This window comes from Homo sapiens, chromosome 11 (genome assembly GCF_000001405.40).
Source record: "Homo sapiens chromosome 11, GRCh38.p14 Primary Assembly".
In the NCBI taxonomy this organism is placed as follows: Eukaryota; Metazoa; Chordata; class Mammalia; order Primates; family Hominidae; genus Homo; species Homo sapiens.
In genome coordinates, this window is record NC_000011.10 from 253019 (window position 1) to 269785 (window position 16767).

The 16767-nt window shown below is 46.8% G+C and overlaps 1 pseudogene, besides 3 other annotated features; it reads right to left on the minus strand.

Moving 5' to 3' along the window:
* On the minus strand, window positions 399-3954 carry COX8BP (cytochrome c oxidase subunit 8B, pseudogene; annotated as a pseudogene).
* Window positions 4550-5050: an enhancer, noted in NCBI's record as "H3K4me1 hESC enhancer chr11:257568-258068 (GRCh37/hg19 assembly coordinates)". NCBI's record gives its function as "activates a minimal SCP1, AML or CMV promoter by ChIP-STARR-seq in primed H9 embryonic stem cells {active_cell/tissue: H9 hESC(primed)}" and the evidence as "EXISTENCE:reporter gene assay evidence [ECO:0000049][PMID:30033119]".
* Window positions 5267-5346: a silencer, noted in NCBI's record as "silent region_2990". NCBI's record gives its function as "represses an Ori minimal core promoter by ATAC-STARR-seq in GM12878 lymphoblastoid cells {active_cell/tissue: GM12878}" and the evidence as "EXISTENCE:reporter gene assay evidence [ECO:0000049][PMID:35858748]".
* Window positions 16462-16531: an enhancer, noted in NCBI's record as "active region_4257". NCBI's record gives its function as "activates an Ori minimal core promoter by ATAC-STARR-seq in GM12878 lymphoblastoid cells {active_cell/tissue: GM12878}" and the evidence as "EXISTENCE:reporter gene assay evidence [ECO:0000049][PMID:35858748]".

Here is a 16767-nt window from a genome sequence, read left to right on the forward strand (position 1 = left end):
GCCAAGCCTGTGCCTGGAGGTTAAAAAGCATGAGTTGGAACCTTGGGAAGACACGGTGGGGGTAGCCTTGGCCCTTCTCCTCCCTGCACATACAGTAGACGGGCAGAATCCAGCACCAAGGACTAACGAAGACGCTGGTCCTATCTTTATTGTTAGTCAAGAGAGACCTAGGGGTATCCACTCCCTTCTCCAGCCCTCTCAGGTACCTGCCCCGACACAGGCATCCATCCACATCCTTGTCACCACTCATCATTCAAATAGCCACCAGCATCTGTGACCTGGTGTGCCCCAGTGCGGACATGAGCCATCCCTGGGACTGGGCATGTAAAGGAAACCACCTTGAGGTTCCCCGTCTGGGAGTGGAGGTGCACGTACACAAAGAATCACAGAGTGAACATTAGGTGGAAGGACAGTTTAATGTGATCTTTCAGTCCTGGGCCTGCAGTGACAGCATGGAGCTCTTGCAGCTCTCCAGGTCGGGTGAGACCCAGCCTCCAGGAACCAGGAAGCTGATGAATGTGAGAGCCCCACGGCCTGCTCCTGTTGGAGGAAAGCACCCACAAGTCTGCTAGGCTGGCAAAGAACAGTTGTCCGGCATCTTCTCCAGCCTTTTCCTCTTTGGTTGCTGGTGTCTGAGCTCCTGGTTTTTTCCACCTCGTCCAGGCCTCGCCTGACCTCATGGCCCCAGACCCCTCTCGGTCTTTCCACCCACCCTCTCCAGACCTCGTTTGGCCCTGGTCCAGATGGCCTGACACCCCAGCTGTTCCTCGTCAGTCACAATTGCTGGGATCTATTGACCACTAGCCTTTATACCCACCTCACTGTCAAGTTCCCAAGGCCCTGTGGTGCACCCTTCAACCTTCCGCAGCCCCTCTCAGCTGCTCAGGCCAAATGTCTTAGTGTGAGCCTCCATTTCCCTCAGACACTCATGTGTACATCGAGCCCGCTGACTCCCCACCCTCCCTAAGTCCAGCCTCAAACCTGTCCTCCATAACCGCTCCTCCACACAGCAGCCCAGACAGTCTTCCAGAACAATCAGGTCTTGTTGCTGCCGCTGCTCAGCATCCTCCAACAGGCTTCACTCACCCCCAAGGCCTGAGTGCTCTGACCACTGCCTGCCTTGCTGGTCCTGCTCCTACCCTCATCTGCTCTCCCTGCACCCCACCAAGGCTCCTGCCTCATCCCAGACATGAGCTGATCACAGCCCAGAGAGACACAATTCTGCATGCTGAAATCCCGAAAAATCAAAATTCTGAAAATATATTTCTGGAAAAAATAATTTTAAAATTATTTAAAAGATATTTATTTACTTTTTTTTCATTTTTTTATTTTTGAGACGGAGTTTCACTCTTGTTGCCCAGGCTGGAGTGCAATGGCACCATCTCCGCTCACTGCAACCTCTACCTCCTGGGTTCAAACAATTCTGCCTCAGCCCTCTGAGTAGCTGGGATTACAGGCGCCTGCCACCACACCTGGCTAATTTTGTATTTTTAGTAGAGATGGGGTTTCTCCATGTTGGTCAGGCTGGTCTCAAACTCCTGACCTCAGGTGATCCGCCCGCCTCAGCCTCCCAAAGTGCTGGGGTTACAGGCATGAGCCACCACGCCTGGCCATCTATTTACATTTTTAAAGGGGATTTATTTGAGAAACATAAAAACATGACATATGACAGAACACATCATAGGCCACTTCACACAATAAAATAGACAATAATAATATCCATGTTTCTGCAAGTGTAAACAGTCATACCAATGACAGTTATGCACAGATGAGCTGTATTCGTAAAGAAATGTGTTGAGAGGGGAAATGCATGAACACCTACCGCTCGGGTGGGAATTGCGTGCGCCCAGGTTCATAACTGCAGTCTTCCGAAAAGCCAGGATGAACAACCTACGCCTTCTAACAGGCTCAATCTAGAACCGCAACAGTTCACCACCACATAGCCAGTCACCAAAAAAACCAAGATCTAGAGAAATTTTTCACAAATGCAGATGTACAAAAAGGACATCTCTTCATTTATTGAGGAAATATCCCATTTTTACCTACACACACAGACAACATTGTGGTAATGCACTTCTGTGGAGTCAGTTTTGCAAAAAATGCCTAAAACAAATTAGAACACTGTATAAGTGTTCTAATTTATATCTTCAGTATTGAAATGATGCAAGGATAAAATGAGAGCATAGTGAACTGTAAAAAAATAATGCTGACAATTTATGATGATGAAAAAAGCTAAAAAAACTATACAGAAAATTCAACTTGAAAAAGCCATATATGTCGAATTTTCTGTGTAAGTCATATTACAGTAGATTATGGGCAACTATGCAGAGATATTCTGTAAGAGCTGGCAAACTTCCACGACCCCATTAACTATATTCTGAAGTCTTGCATCACAATGAATAGCTGTTTTTTTTTTCTTTTAGGACATGGCTTTCCTTGGAGAATACATTCAAATTCATTTTCTAAGTGGCGCTACTTTTTAAAAATTTCTATGATTCCTGTGATTGTGATTTTTGGAATTTTAAATATTAGAGATTTTACACTTTAGATATTTTGATCTTTCAGGATTTCAAGACTCAGGAGTGTGTCTTTCAGGATTATAATCCAAACACATCCCAGACACAGGGCACTCCCACCCTTCACTGGCGCCTTTGTCTGGACAGCCTTTCCCTCAGGTTTTTACTTGTTTCTTTAGATCATTTAGGCTTTGCTCAAATGACATCTCCTTAGATATATCTTGTTTACTCTCTGTTTTTGAAGCTGGAATGTAAGTCCCATGAGGGCAGAGACTCCGTTGTGTTCACCACTGAATCTTTGGAGCCTGGAGCAGTGTCTGGTTTAGCAGACTTTTTCAGTCAATGTTACATGGATGGATGGACAGATGGGCATATGGATATATGGATGGATGAATGGATGGGTGGATGGGTGAGTGGATGGACAACAGATGAGTGGATGGATGCATGGATGCATGGATGGATGGATGGATGGATGGATGGATGGATGGATGGATGGATGGTGGGTGGATGGATGAGTTTATGAATAGGTGGACGGACAGATGCACGGATGGATGGATGGATGGGCAGATGGGTGGGTGGGAGGAGTGGATGGGTGGATGGATGCAGGGATCCATAATGGATGGATGTGTGGATGGGTGGATGGATAGATGAGTGGATAAGTGGATGGATAGATGCATGGACGGACGGACGGACGGACGGACGGACGGACGGACGGACGGACGGATGGATGGATACATGGGTCGGTGGGTGGATGGATGAGTCAATGGGTGGATGAGTGGATGGGTGGATGGATGGATGGGTGGGTGGATGGATGGGTGGGTAGGTGGGTGGGTGGATGGATGATTGGAGGAGTTGTTATAAGGATGGATGGAGTTTCTATTGTATGCTGGGCACTGGGCTAGATTTGAAGGATACAAAGCCAAGTCAGACATGAGAGACAACTGTGGGGATTACACTTCTCCTTCAGAATGACCCACAGTATTATCACTGACAATGAAAAAGGCCACAGCTGAGTCCAAGCCCAGGAGCCAGTAGAAGCAGTAGGACATCTGACCCCACCTAGGCCCCCAGATTTATCCATGGTCATTGTCTGTACCTCCAGGCTTGGCTGTGGTCATCACCCTCACTATGGACAATCACGCCCCTATCTGTTTGTTTTGAAATGGTAAATTGGTGATACGAGCAAATTTCACTAGGAACATGATTTTACTTTTGTTCTTCCCCAGAAACCACATTTGTCCTAAATGTGAGACTACTTCCTAGGCTTTCCACCCCACCTTCCGGGTCCCTGGCCAGTCTTCATCTGACTTGGTTTCTCAAGCAGGAGCCAAGTCCTGTGAGGCCAGAGGAAGAAGGGTGTCCTGAATGTTATCTCCAGCAGTGCTGGGCTCCTGATACCAGCCTCAGGCAGTGGGGGGCTCTGCCCCTCCTCTGTAATAATCCCTTCCGCCTGAACCTTTAATTATAGCTTTGGGGTCCAGTTCTGGATAAGGCTGTGGACCTGAGTGCGTGTTCAAAGGATCAGTCTCCCAGGCTATGGTGTTTTGTCTTTTACAGATAAGAACTAGCTGCACCACCACCCAGGCTTGCCCCCGAGGGAGGCCTCCACCTCTGCCCTTTTTGGGCTTCAGTGGAGTGGGGGGTGCAGGTGGCGTGTGTGGGTGGGCAGTGGAGAGGCCCACTGTGCTTCAGGACGTTAGGCTTCCAAACAAGCCCCCAGCCAGCCCAGCCTTGGGTGGGTGATGCCCCCGATGAAGGCTGAGAGGAGGGAGCTGGCAGGGGTGGGAGCAGCGATGCCAGGAGGAAACACTGCCCTCCAGGAGAGAGAGGTTTTGTCGGCCTCCCTCAAGCCCAGATGGCCACGCCGTCCACAGCCTTCAACCTCTTCCCACCTGCCCACTCACCGGTCTTCCGACCTTTCTGACCTTTCCAAGCACAAACCTGTCCTCCTCACTTCACACTCACGCAGCTTCTACTTCTGGGGCCCCACAAAAGCAGAAGTGAGCTTTGGTCTTTATCCTAGCCTTGTTTTTAGTCCCCAGTTTGAACCACTTGTTCAAACCAAACCCTGTGGTTAAAGATCCTGAGTCCCCCACCCACAGCAAGGCTGCCCCAGATGGCCTCTCCTGTCATCATCCTGAGGCCTGGACCCTCTTCCCCGCCACCCCCAGGTCTGCCCTTTAATAGAAAGAAAATGATGTGACCCAGAGAGAAAGAGAAGGTGGCCAAGTGGGGCTGCAGGATGGAGATTAAGGCCCCACGTAACAGCTGGGGAAACTGAGACTTGAAGAGCATTCAGGGTTGCAGGCTCAGGGTTCCAGACTCATCCTGGCCCATCCTGGCTCATCCTGGCTCATCTTGGCTCATCCTGGCCCATCCTGGCCCATCCTGGCCCATCCTGGCTCATCCTGGCCCATCCTGGCTCATCTTGGCTCATCCTGGCCCGTCCTGGCTCATCCTGGCTCGTCCTGGCCCATCCTGGCTCATCTTGGCTCATCCTGGCCCGTCCTGGCCCATCCTGGCTCATCCTGGACAGGGGCAGCATCGGAAGGTGCGCTCAAGGCCGTGGATGGACAAAAGTAGTCCTGTTACCTGAATCTTCACCCTCACCTTCTTCAGCCACTCAGCACATACCTATCAAGCTTGCCCTGGACATACCCCTAACGCACCTGGGAGGCGGGAGGGAGACCAGCCACCACGCACACCCTCTCTCACAAAGCTGCAAGGCCACCTCGGCCTGCAGGACCACCTGGAAAGTCCGGTGGACACCTGTGGGCACATGGCACCACCCTGTGTCCAGACTTGGAACCACAGAAGCTGCTGGAGGAGGCACAGACGGGGGCACAGCCCTCTTCCATGGAGCTCTTCGAATCAGAGACCCAGAAAGAGCACACATGCATGAAAACATTTGCATGCTCCTTTTTTATTGCATTAGAAACCTATTTCTTCACGTAAAATAGTGGTTCTTAAAGTGTGGTTCCTGGACCAACAGCATCAGCATCACCTGGCTTGTTGGAAACGAATCGGAAAGTGGAGTGGGCCTATAATCTGTTACAACAACCCCCCAGGTGAGTATGATACACAGCCAAGTTTGAGAACCAGCCGGTCGCGGTGGCTCACACCTGTAATCTCAGCACTTTGGGAGGCCAAGGTAGGTGGATCACCTGAGGTCAGGAGTTCAAGACCATCCTGGACAACGTGGCAAAACCCCGTCTCTACTAAAAATACAAAAATTTGCTGGGCATGGTGGCAAACGCCTGTAGTCCTAGCTACTCGGGAGGCTGAGACAGGAGAATTGCTTGAACCCGGGAGGCGGAGATTGCAGTGAGCTGAGATTGTGCCATTGCACTCCAGCCTGTGCGACAGAGCAAGACTCCATCTCAAAAAAAAAAAAAAGCTTGAATACCATCTTCATGTCACATAAAAACTTTGATACTTCACACTATTTTCTTCAAAACTGAATGACCACTTCCAAAAAATTAAGCCAGATACTAAGACTTGGCCCCTTCCTTTCATCTAAAAAAACACATTTCCACTAAGTACCTTGTAGATTTAGTAGAATTTACTGAAACTTTGGGATTCATGGGAAGAGATCCTGTGGAGGGTGTGGCCCTCTGCCCTCCACCCCACCCCTGTGCACACCCCTCGTCGGGAACTCAGCTTTGACCCAAGCCCTCTTCACATGGAACCTGCCCGTTCGGGACTCTGGTGTCAGTCGACAGTCTCAGCATTGCCCAGCGCTGACGGTTTCGATGGTGCTGTGTGTCAGCTTGACTGGGCCGTGGTGCCCACGTTTGGTCAAACATTATTCTGGATATTTCTGCAAAGGTGTTTTTTGGATGAAATACTAACCTTTAAATTGGTGAACTTTGAGAAACGCAGAAGACCCTCCATGATGTGGTGGGCTTCATCCAATCAGTTGAAGATCTTAGGAGAACAAAGACGGACCTCTCCTGAGGAGGAAGAAGGAATTCCACCTCCAGATGGTCCTCGGGCTCCGCCACAGCATCAGCTTTCCTCGGGGCCTCCAGCCACCTGGGCTCCTCTATCAGATTCCGGGCTTACCAAGCCTCTACAATCACATAAACAGTTCCTCAAAATAGATCTCTCTCCACATATATGTGTGTTGGGGATGGGTGGGTACACACACACACGCACGCGCACACACACACACGCACGCACACACATCCTGTTGGTTCTGTTTCTCTGGAGAATGCTAATACAATATGTATAATACATTTGTCACAATTAATGAACCAATATTGATACATTAGTTACGAACTTCATGAAGTCCATACTCGATTCGGATTTCCTCACACTTTCCCTCATTTCCTGTTCCAGGATCAACACCATTTTACATTCAGTCTCCACATCTCCTGAGCTCCTGTCTGCTGGGGCGGCTCCTCATTCTCCTTGTTTTTCGGTGACCTTGAAGGTAACTGGTCAGGTTTATTGTAGAACACCCCACCCTTCTATTGAGGTTCGGCTGCTGCTTTTCTCATGATTAGATTAGGGCTCTGGGGCTTGAGAAGGAGGACCACAGAGGGACAGCGCCCTTCTCATCACATCATACCAAGAACTTCTCACTCCTGATGTTGGCCTCGGCCACCTGGGTGAGACCGTCTGTCAGCTTTCCTCATTGCAAAGTGACTCTTTTCACTCCCCTTCCCATACTGTTCCCTTTGGGAGGAAGTCACTATGCACAGCCCCACCTAAGGATGGCCAGTCACACTCCACCTCTTTGGGGGTGGGGTCTCTACAGGCTTTATTTGTCATTCTTTTGCATTAAAGGCTTGTCTCTTTTCCCCACTTATTATTACTGATTCATTTATTTATATCAGTATGGACTCAAGCGTATTTATTTTATATTTAGGTTATAATTAACACTGGTTAATTTTGTTGCTCAGATTGTCCCAGCTCTGGGTATTGGGTTCCTTTCTTTCAGCCCTGTGTTCCTTTAGCATATCCTCAAAATTGTGGAGCTTTTTAATTTGCTTGTTTTGAACACTTTCTTAGTTTCTGGTACCACAAAATGCTCCAGACTCATATATTTTCTGCCCCTGTCCTGGAATAAGTGAACATAGAATAAGCCAATAGGCCTGGTTCCTTCTGCTGGAGAATGGTATTAGAAACCAAGATCTGGGCTGGGCATGGTGGCTCACACCTGTAATCCCAGCACTTTGGAAGGCTGAGGCAAGTGGATCACTTGAGGCCAGGAGTCTGAGACCTGCCTCAGCAACATAGTGAGACTGAGACCCTGCCTCTACAAAAAATTTAAAAATTAGCCAGGCATGGTGGCTCCTAGTCCTATATAGAGCGCCTATAGTCCTAGCTACTTGGGAGGCTGAGATGGAAGGAGTGCTTGAGCCCAGGAGTTCAAAGCTGCAGTGAGCCATAATCATGCCAGTGCACTCTAGCCTGGGTGACACAGTGAGATCCTCTCTCAAAAAATAAAAAATAAAAGCATTAACTTATGTTAAAGAAAAAAAAAAGAAACAAGAAGAGAGAAAGAAAGCAAGAAGAGAGAAAGAAAGCAAGAAAGAAGAAAGAGAAAGAAGAAAGAAAAAGAGAAAGAAAAGAAAGAAAGAAAAAGAAAGAGAGAAAAGAAAAAAAAAGAAAAGGAAGGAAGCAAGGAAGGGAGAGAGAAAGAAAAAAAAGAAAAGAGTCCAAGAGCCGGACACTAGGTAGCTACATGACACTATACACCTGTCAAGATTCATGGAGGGCCAAGCACAGTAGCTCATGCCTGTCATCCCAGCACTTTGGGAGGCCAGGGCAGGACTGCTTAAGCCCAGGAGTTAGAGACCAGCCTGGGTAACATAGTGAGACCCCTGTCTCCACAAAAAATAAAAACATTAGCCAGGCATGGTGGTGCACACGTGTGGTCCCAGCTACTCAGGAAGCTGAGGTGGGAGGATGGCTTGAGCCTGGAGGCCGAAGCTGCAGTGAGACATTATTGGGCCACTGCACTCCAACCTGGACAACAGAGCAAGATCCTCTCTCAAAATAATAAAAATTAAAAATTCATAGAGCTTTATAGTACAAAGAGTAAACATTAATGTATGCAAATGTTAAAATATCATTTAGAATATCAGGGAATCCCATGATGGAATGCAGCATGTGACAAAATAATCTAACTGTGTTACAAATGCAGAAACAACCTCACTGAAGGGAATGATGAGAAAGGCACTGACTTGGTAACTTTGGAAATGAGTGAAGTCTGTTAAGACTAAGAGCAAAGGAAGTACACATAAGCACAGTACTCTAGCTGATAAAGTAGTTTCCCACACGGCAGATGTGGGGGTGTGTGTGTGTATGTGTGTGCATGCGTACCATGCAAATTAGCAAAATACAACACATTGGAGGCCAGGTGCAGTGGTTCATGTCTGTAATCCCAGCACTTTGAGAGGCCAAGGCAGGCAGATCACCTGAGGTCGGAGTTCGAGATCAGCCTGACCAACATGGAGAAACCCCATCTCTACTAAAAATACAAAAAATTAGTCAGGCGTGGAGGTGCATGCCTGTAATTCCAGCTACTCGGGAGGCTGAGGCAGGAGAATCACTTGAACCCGGGAGGCGGAGGTTGCGGTGAGCAGAGATTGTGCCACTGCACTCCAGCCTGGGCAACAAGAGCGAAACTCCACCTCAAAAAAAAAAACACACACACACACACACACAATGGAAAATATGCATGAGTAACGTAGCAGAGATTGCTAGCTGATCTCCAAAATTTCTGTTCCTGTCTTCCTGGACAAATAGCTAGACTGCATGTCCTATCCTTTCCTGCTGTCAGGGTCGGCCATGTGACTGTGGCTATGAGTGACATGCACAACCTCCTGATCAGGCCATGACAAGCCTTCCTCCAACCCAGGCATCAGGCTGTTCCCTCGAGCACTGACCATGGAGGCCTTCCTCCAACCCAGGCATCAGGCTGTTTCCTAGAGCACTCTTTATAAGAGGAGGGAAATGAAACTGATCCAATTTTCATCAATAGGGCACTGATTAATAACTTGTGGTACACCTCAACCACAGGCAACTATGATGAAGACAAAAATAGTGAAGTATATTTATATACACCAACATGGAAAGGTGTCCGAAACATACCAGTTATTAAACAAATAAAGCAAATTAAAAAGCAGCAGATTTGTCAGGATGTGGTGGCTCACGCCTGTAATCCCAGCACTTTGGGAGGCCGAGGCGGGCAGATCACGAGGTCAGGAGATTGAGACCATCCTGGCTAACATGGTGAAACCCCGTCTCTACTAAAAATACAAAAAATTAGCCAGGCGTGGTGGCAGGTGCCTGTAGTCCCAGCTATTTGGGAGGCTGAGGCAGGAGAATGGTGTGAACCCGGGAGGCAGAGCTTGCTGTGAGCCCAGATCACGCCACTGCACTCCAGCCTGGGCGACAGAGCGAAACTCTACCTCATTTAAAAAAAAAAAAGTGACAGATTTGTCAGGGAGCGGTAGCTCACGCCTGTAATCCCAGCACTTTGAGAGGCCAAGGCGGGTGGATCACCTGAGGTCGGGAGTTCAAGACCAGCCTGACCAACATGGAGAAACCCCGTCTCTACTTAAAATACAAAATTAGCTGGGTGTGGTGGCAGGCACCTGTAATCCCAGCTACTCAGGAGGCTGAGGCAGGAGAATCGCTTGAACCTGGGAGGCGGAGGTTGCAGCGAGCCGAGATCACGCCAGTGAACTCCAGCCTGGGCAACAAGAATGAAACTCCGTCTCAAAAAAAAAAAAAAGCAGCAGATCACATCCACACATGGAAACACTAATTATCAATAAAAATGAACAAACTACTAAGACGCAAAAGCACATGGGTGAATCTCACATACATTATCCTCAGTGAAAATACCTGGGCCCAAAAAGCTACATACTGTCTCAGGGGCTGGCAAACGTCCTGTGTGTCAAATCTAGCCCACATCTGGTTTTTGTATGGTGTGCATGGTTTTAACATTTTTAAAGCATTAAGTTAAAAAAAAAGAATATTTAAAATGTGAAAAAACACATTTACAATGAAAATAATAAAAATATGGTATATCGAAATTTGTGGTATCCAGATAAACTCATGCCTTGAAGTAAATTTATGGCAATATATATATATTTTTATGTATATCCTTATATATATGTACACATACATATAGTATGTGTATATATGTGTGTATATATGTATATATAATACACATACTATATATAATACAGTATATATAATATATAATACACATACTATAATACACATACTATATATACACACACACATATAGGCACATGTAGATTTTTTTTTTTACGGAAGAATAAAATCTAAAAACTGATAAACAAAGCATTCTTCTAAAAAATTTGGGGGTGACCAGGTGCAGTGGCTCATGTCTGTAACCCCAACACTTTGGGAGGTGGAGGCGGGCAGATTGCTTGAGGTCAGGAGTTCAGGACCAGTCTGGCCAATATGGTGAAACCCCGTCTCTACTAAAACTATGAAAATTAGGCTGGCATAGTGGTGTGCACCTGTAATCCCAGCTCCATGGTGGCTGGAGCATGAGAATTGCTTCAGCCTGGGAGATGGAGGTTCCAGTGAGCCAAGATCCTACAGCTGTACTCCAACCTGAGAGACAGAGCAAGGCTCCGTCTCAAAATAATAATAATAATTTGGGGATGTAGAGGTTGCTAATTAAACTCCAAGAAAATAGAAGAAAAAATAAATATAAGAGTAGGACTTAATAACAATAGAAAATAAATGCACAATAGAGAAGGTTAACAAGACAAAAATTGAAAAAAATTGTTTTGATAAAATTAATGAAGATACTCCAGGTGTGGCTGTTTAAGAAAAAAGAGAGATGATACAAATATCACGCTTCAGGAATGAAAAGGGGGCACTGCTACAGATCTTACAGATATTAAAAAGTTAATAAAGGAAAATTATGAACATTTATGTCAATAAATTTGAAGACACATTAAATATGACATATTCTCAGAAGAAAAGAAACTTTAAAAAACTCTCATGAGAATTAATAGAAAATCTACATAGTTCTATATCTGAACAGTTGTGCTAAAGAAATTGAAACTGTAATTTAAAACCTCCCCACAGAGAAAAAACTTAGGCCTCAATCGTTTCATCAGTGAATTCTACCTAAATCTTCACACAAAGAAAACTCAAACAGATAGATTCACTGGTGGATTTTGCCAAACTTTTAAGAAAGAAATAATACAAATCTTACACAAACTTTTCCAGATAATAGGAAAAAAAAGAAATGCTTTTTATCTCTTTTTATGAAACAAATATAACCTTATTTTTAAAAACCTGTTAAGGACATTGATAAAGTAATAAAAATCTCTCTCATAAACAGACACAAAAATCCTAAGGAAAACATTAGCAAATCAAATCTACCTATATAAAAACATATGTCATCACATCATTTGGTTGGGTTTATAGCCTTGTTTAAAATGATTTAAATAATGCGACTCATTACATTAACAGGAAAAGAAAAAAATCATTTGATTACCTCAATTGATACAGAAATAGCATGTAATAGAAATCAACGTCCCTTCATCATTTCTTTTAAAAAAGAAAACTAAGGCCGGGTGCAGAGGCTCACGCATGTAATCCCAGCACTTTGGGAGGCCGAGGCGGGTGGATCATCTGAGGTCAGGAGTTCAAGACCAGCCTGGCCAACATGGTGAAACCTCATCTCTACTAAAAATACAAAAATTAGCCGGGTGTGGTGGCAGGTGCCTGTAATCCCAGCTACTCGGGAGGCTGAGGCAGGAGAATCACTTGAACCCAGGAGGCGGAGGTTGCAGTGAGCTGAAATCGTGCCACTGCACTCCAGCCTGGGCAATAAGAGCAAAAAAGAGAGAGAAGAAAAGAAAAGAAAAGAAAGAAGCAAACTAAGCATAGACGAAATTTCCTTAGTCTTATCTGTAATAAACAAACAGGGCTGGGCGAGGAGGCTCACACCTGTAATTCCAGCACTTTGGGAAGCCGAGGCAGGCAGATCACCTGAGGTCAGGAGTTCAAGACCAGCCTGACCAACATGGAGAAACCCTGTCTCTACTAAAAATTCAAAATTAGCCGGACCTGGTGGTGCATGCCTGTAATCCCAGCTACTTGGGAGGCTGCGGCAAGAGAATTGTTTGAATCCAGGAGGTGGAGGTTGCGGTGAGCCGAGATCACACCATTGCACTCCAGCCTGGGCAACAAGAGCAAAACTCCATCTCAAATAATAATAATAATAATAAAGAAAAATAAATAAATAAGGTCTGAAGCAAACATCACAGTAAAAGCTGAAATATTGAAAGCCTTTCATCTTAGAATGAGAATGAAGCAAGAATATCTACTGTCACCAATTCAAGGCAACATTGTACTGGAGATGCAAGCCGGTGCAATAAGGCAAGAAAAAGAAATAAAAGTTATAAGGATTGGAAAGAAGAAGAAAATGAAACTATAATTATTTTAAAATGATATAGTTGAGGGTGTCAAGAATCTAGGAGAATCTATAGATAAGCTATTAGAATTAATAATGTATTTGGCAGGGCCACTGGCTGTAATGCCAATATGCCAAAATTAGTTGTAGTTCTGTGTACCATCAATAAAAAATTAGACAATGAAGCAAAAAAAAAAAGATTTTTTTGTTTGTTTGTTTTTCTTGAGATGGAGTCTTGCCCTGTCACCCGGGCTGGAGTGCAGTGGCATGATCTCGGCTCACTACACTCTCCACCTCCCAGGTTTGAGCAATTCTCCTGCCTCAGCCTCCGGAGTAGCTGGGATTACAGGTGCGTGCCACCAAACCTGGCTAATTTTTGTATTTTTGGTAGAGACAGGGTTTTGCCATATTCGCCAGGCTGGTCTTGAACTCCTGACCTCATGATCCACCCGCCTTGGCCTCCCAAAGTGCTGGGATTACAGGCATGAGCCACTGCACCTGGCCAAACAAATGATATTTTTAAAAGCATAAAAAATATCAAATGTAAGATGGGCATAATATTTACATAGAAAACTATAAAACATTCTAGAGAGATGTTTTTTAAATGCCTTAAATAATTGGTAGGTTATATTATATTCATGAATTTTAAAATAGATTACTTTGACAATTTTTATTCTCCCCAAATGGAACTATAGGTTCAGTAAAATTCCAACCAAAATCCCAACAGGTTTTCCATTAGTGGGAATTCAAAGGCTAATTCTAAGATGAAAGCAGAAATGTGAAGGACAAGAATAGCTAAGACAGCCATGAACATGAACAAGAATAAAGGTGGCGAACTGACACCCCAGACTTATTATCAAGCTATAGTGATAAGTATAGACAGTGTGGTAATGGCACAAATAGATCAGCGTCACAGAATGTCTGTATAATTGCCCCAGAATTGGTCTGTGGTACCACACTAAATGATTCACAGAGATTCTTTGTGGAAAGAACAGTGACTTTCATGGAGGGAAAGGTCATTTTCACTTTTTATTTCATACATATTTATACTATTAGATTTTCTTAAAATTAACATATTCAGTCATTGCCTATAAAATTTAAAATAATGCCAGTGGGGGAAGCCCTCTGGCGCTTCCATTGCCTGTTTGAAAGTTACTGGGCTCACTTGTTCGGGAAACATCAGCTGCTCCCACTGGGTGCCAGGCCCTGTTCTAGGTGCTTGGGAAGTGTCAGTGAGCAAAACAGACAAATCTCCAGCCCACATGGAGGGGTGAGGAGCAAGGAGGAGGAGTGAGGAGCAAGGAGGAAGGGCAAGGAGCGAGGAGGAGTGGGGAGAAGTGAGGAGGAGGGGGGAGGAGCGAAGAGGAGGGGGAGGAGCGAGGGGGAGGAGCGAGGAGGAGGGGGAGGAGCGAGGAGGGGGGAGGAGCGAGGAGGGGGGAGGAGCGAGGAGGGGGGAGGAGCGAGGAGGGGGGAGGAGCGAGGAGGAGGGGGGGCGAGGAGGAGGGGGAGGGGCGAGGAGGGAGGGGAGGGGGAGGGAGAGGGGAGGAGCAACGAGGAGGGGGGAGGAGCAAGGAGGGGGGAGGAGCGAGGAGGGGAGGAGGGGGAGGGGCGAGGAGGAGGCGGGAGGAGCTGGACAGGACATCGTGCCAGCCCGAGGGCGGAATGAACTTCAGAGAAGTTTGAGAGCAAAAGGTGCTTTGCTGCTGTTAGACCCTGAAATTCCACGGGTCCCTGGACAGTTTTGGGAGCCGGGAGGGTGAAGAGAGTGGATCAAGCTTCGTGGGGTGGACCCGGAAGAGATGGGGCAGTGAATGGTTCTGGGGGACTGCGGGAGCCTCCGGGGAGTGATTTTTTGCCCTGAGGGGAATCACCGCAGCGGGGACAAGGCTGGGGGAAAACACTTCCTTCTGCAAGGGCACTGCTGAGCCTCACTTGCTGGAGCTTGCACTGTGCAACGGTAAATTCACGTTGTGTGCCCTCACCTGAGCTTCTGATGAGGACGCTGGAGGGCTTGGCCCTTTGAAGTCCTCACCTGTCCCTCCTTGGGCTGGGGGTGGTGACTAGGAGGGGCTGCACGGCTGCTGCCCGGGTTGGTCCCGGCCATCCCAGCTCCCTGGTAAATAGGCTTCTCAAACTAGGATACCTGGGCCTTGGGCGTTACCTGCAAACCCTGTTCCTCGCTCTAGTTCCCCACTTCCATCCCTCCTCTTGCCTCAGCCCTTCTCATCTCACACGCCACATGGGATCCACCCTTTTTACGCATGTGCAGAGCGTGGCCCCTCTCTGATTCCCTTCCCCTCAGGAGAGCCGGACGTCTCCCTCCCTCACACCCTCCCCAGCCCCACAGCAGCCCAGGGAGCCTTGCCCGCTCCTCGGCCCCCCTGGCTCTCCCAGCCACCCAGGCCTCCTGTGTCCTGAGTGGGCCAGCTCCTGCCAGACCACGGCCCTGCCCTGCACCTGACTGCGTCCCCACCGCGGACCTGCCCCCTCGTTTATTCTCCTCTCTCCGCTCTGCTCTGTCCTTGGCACTGTTTTTGTTTGTTTTTTGTTTTTGTTTTTTGAGACGCAGTCTCGCTCTGTCACACAGGCTGGAGTGCAGTGGCGTGATCTCTGCTCACTGCAATCTCTGCCTCCTGGGTTCAAACTATTTTCTTGCCTCAGCCTCACGAGTAGCTGGGATTACAGATGCCCGCCACCACGCCTGGCTAATTTTTGTATTTTTAGTAGAGACGGGGTTTCACCATGTTGGCCAGGCTGATCTCGAACTCCTGACCTCAAGTGATCCGCCCGCCTCTGCCTCCCAAAGTGCTGGGATCACAGATATGAGCCACCGCGCCCCGCCCTTGGCACTGTTTAATCCATGTGTTGTTTATTTATGTATCCTGTTTATTTTCTGTCTCCCAACAAAGACGTAGCTCCTTCTGGGTAGGGCATTTTGTTCATGCTCTCAGATGCCGCCTACCGCCCTAGAGCAGGAAATAGCGGTCAGCGCCAGCTGTGAGGAGCACAGCATTGCGGCCAACACAGGAGGCACTGACCACGGGGCAGGCGCTATTTAAAAATCGTGGCAAAGGATCAGACGTAACAGAACTCTTTTTGTTTTAATCATTTTTAAGTGTGCAGTTCAATGATGTTAGTTACATGCACAATATTGTGTAACCATCACCACTATTTCCAAAATCCTTTCTATCCGTCAGACAGAAACTCCGTCCCCATTAAACAGCAACTCTGCATTCCTCCGTCCCCCCAGCCTCTGGTCACGTGTCTCATCTACTTTCAGTCTCTACGGATTTGCCTGTTCTAATTATTTCATAGAAGTGGATTCATACAGTACGTGTCCTTCTGTGTCAGGTTCATGTCACTCAGCGTGATGTGCCCAAGGTTCACCCATGCGTCGGGCTCTCATTCCTGAATCGCATTTCTCTGTACGGATAGACTGAGTTTTGTTTGTCTGTTCACCTGTTTAGGAACACTTGGTTGCTTCCACATTTTGACTGTTATGAATAACGCTACTAGCAAAGTGAACACGAGTGTGGTTTCAGTTCCTGTTTTCAATTCTTCCGCGTCTTTTAAGAAAAAACAAACTGTTTTCAACAGTTGCATCATTTTACCGTCCCACCAGCAACATGGGAGGCTTCCCATCACTTGTTTTCTTCATGTTTGTTTTGTTTAGTTGCATAATAATTGCCATCCTAGTGGAGGTAAGAAGGTATCTCACTGTTCTTTTCATTTGCATTTTTGTAATGACTAACGAGGTTGGGCAACTTTTCACGTGCTTGTCAGTCATTCGCATCTTTTTTTTTTTTTGAGAAATGTCTATTCAAG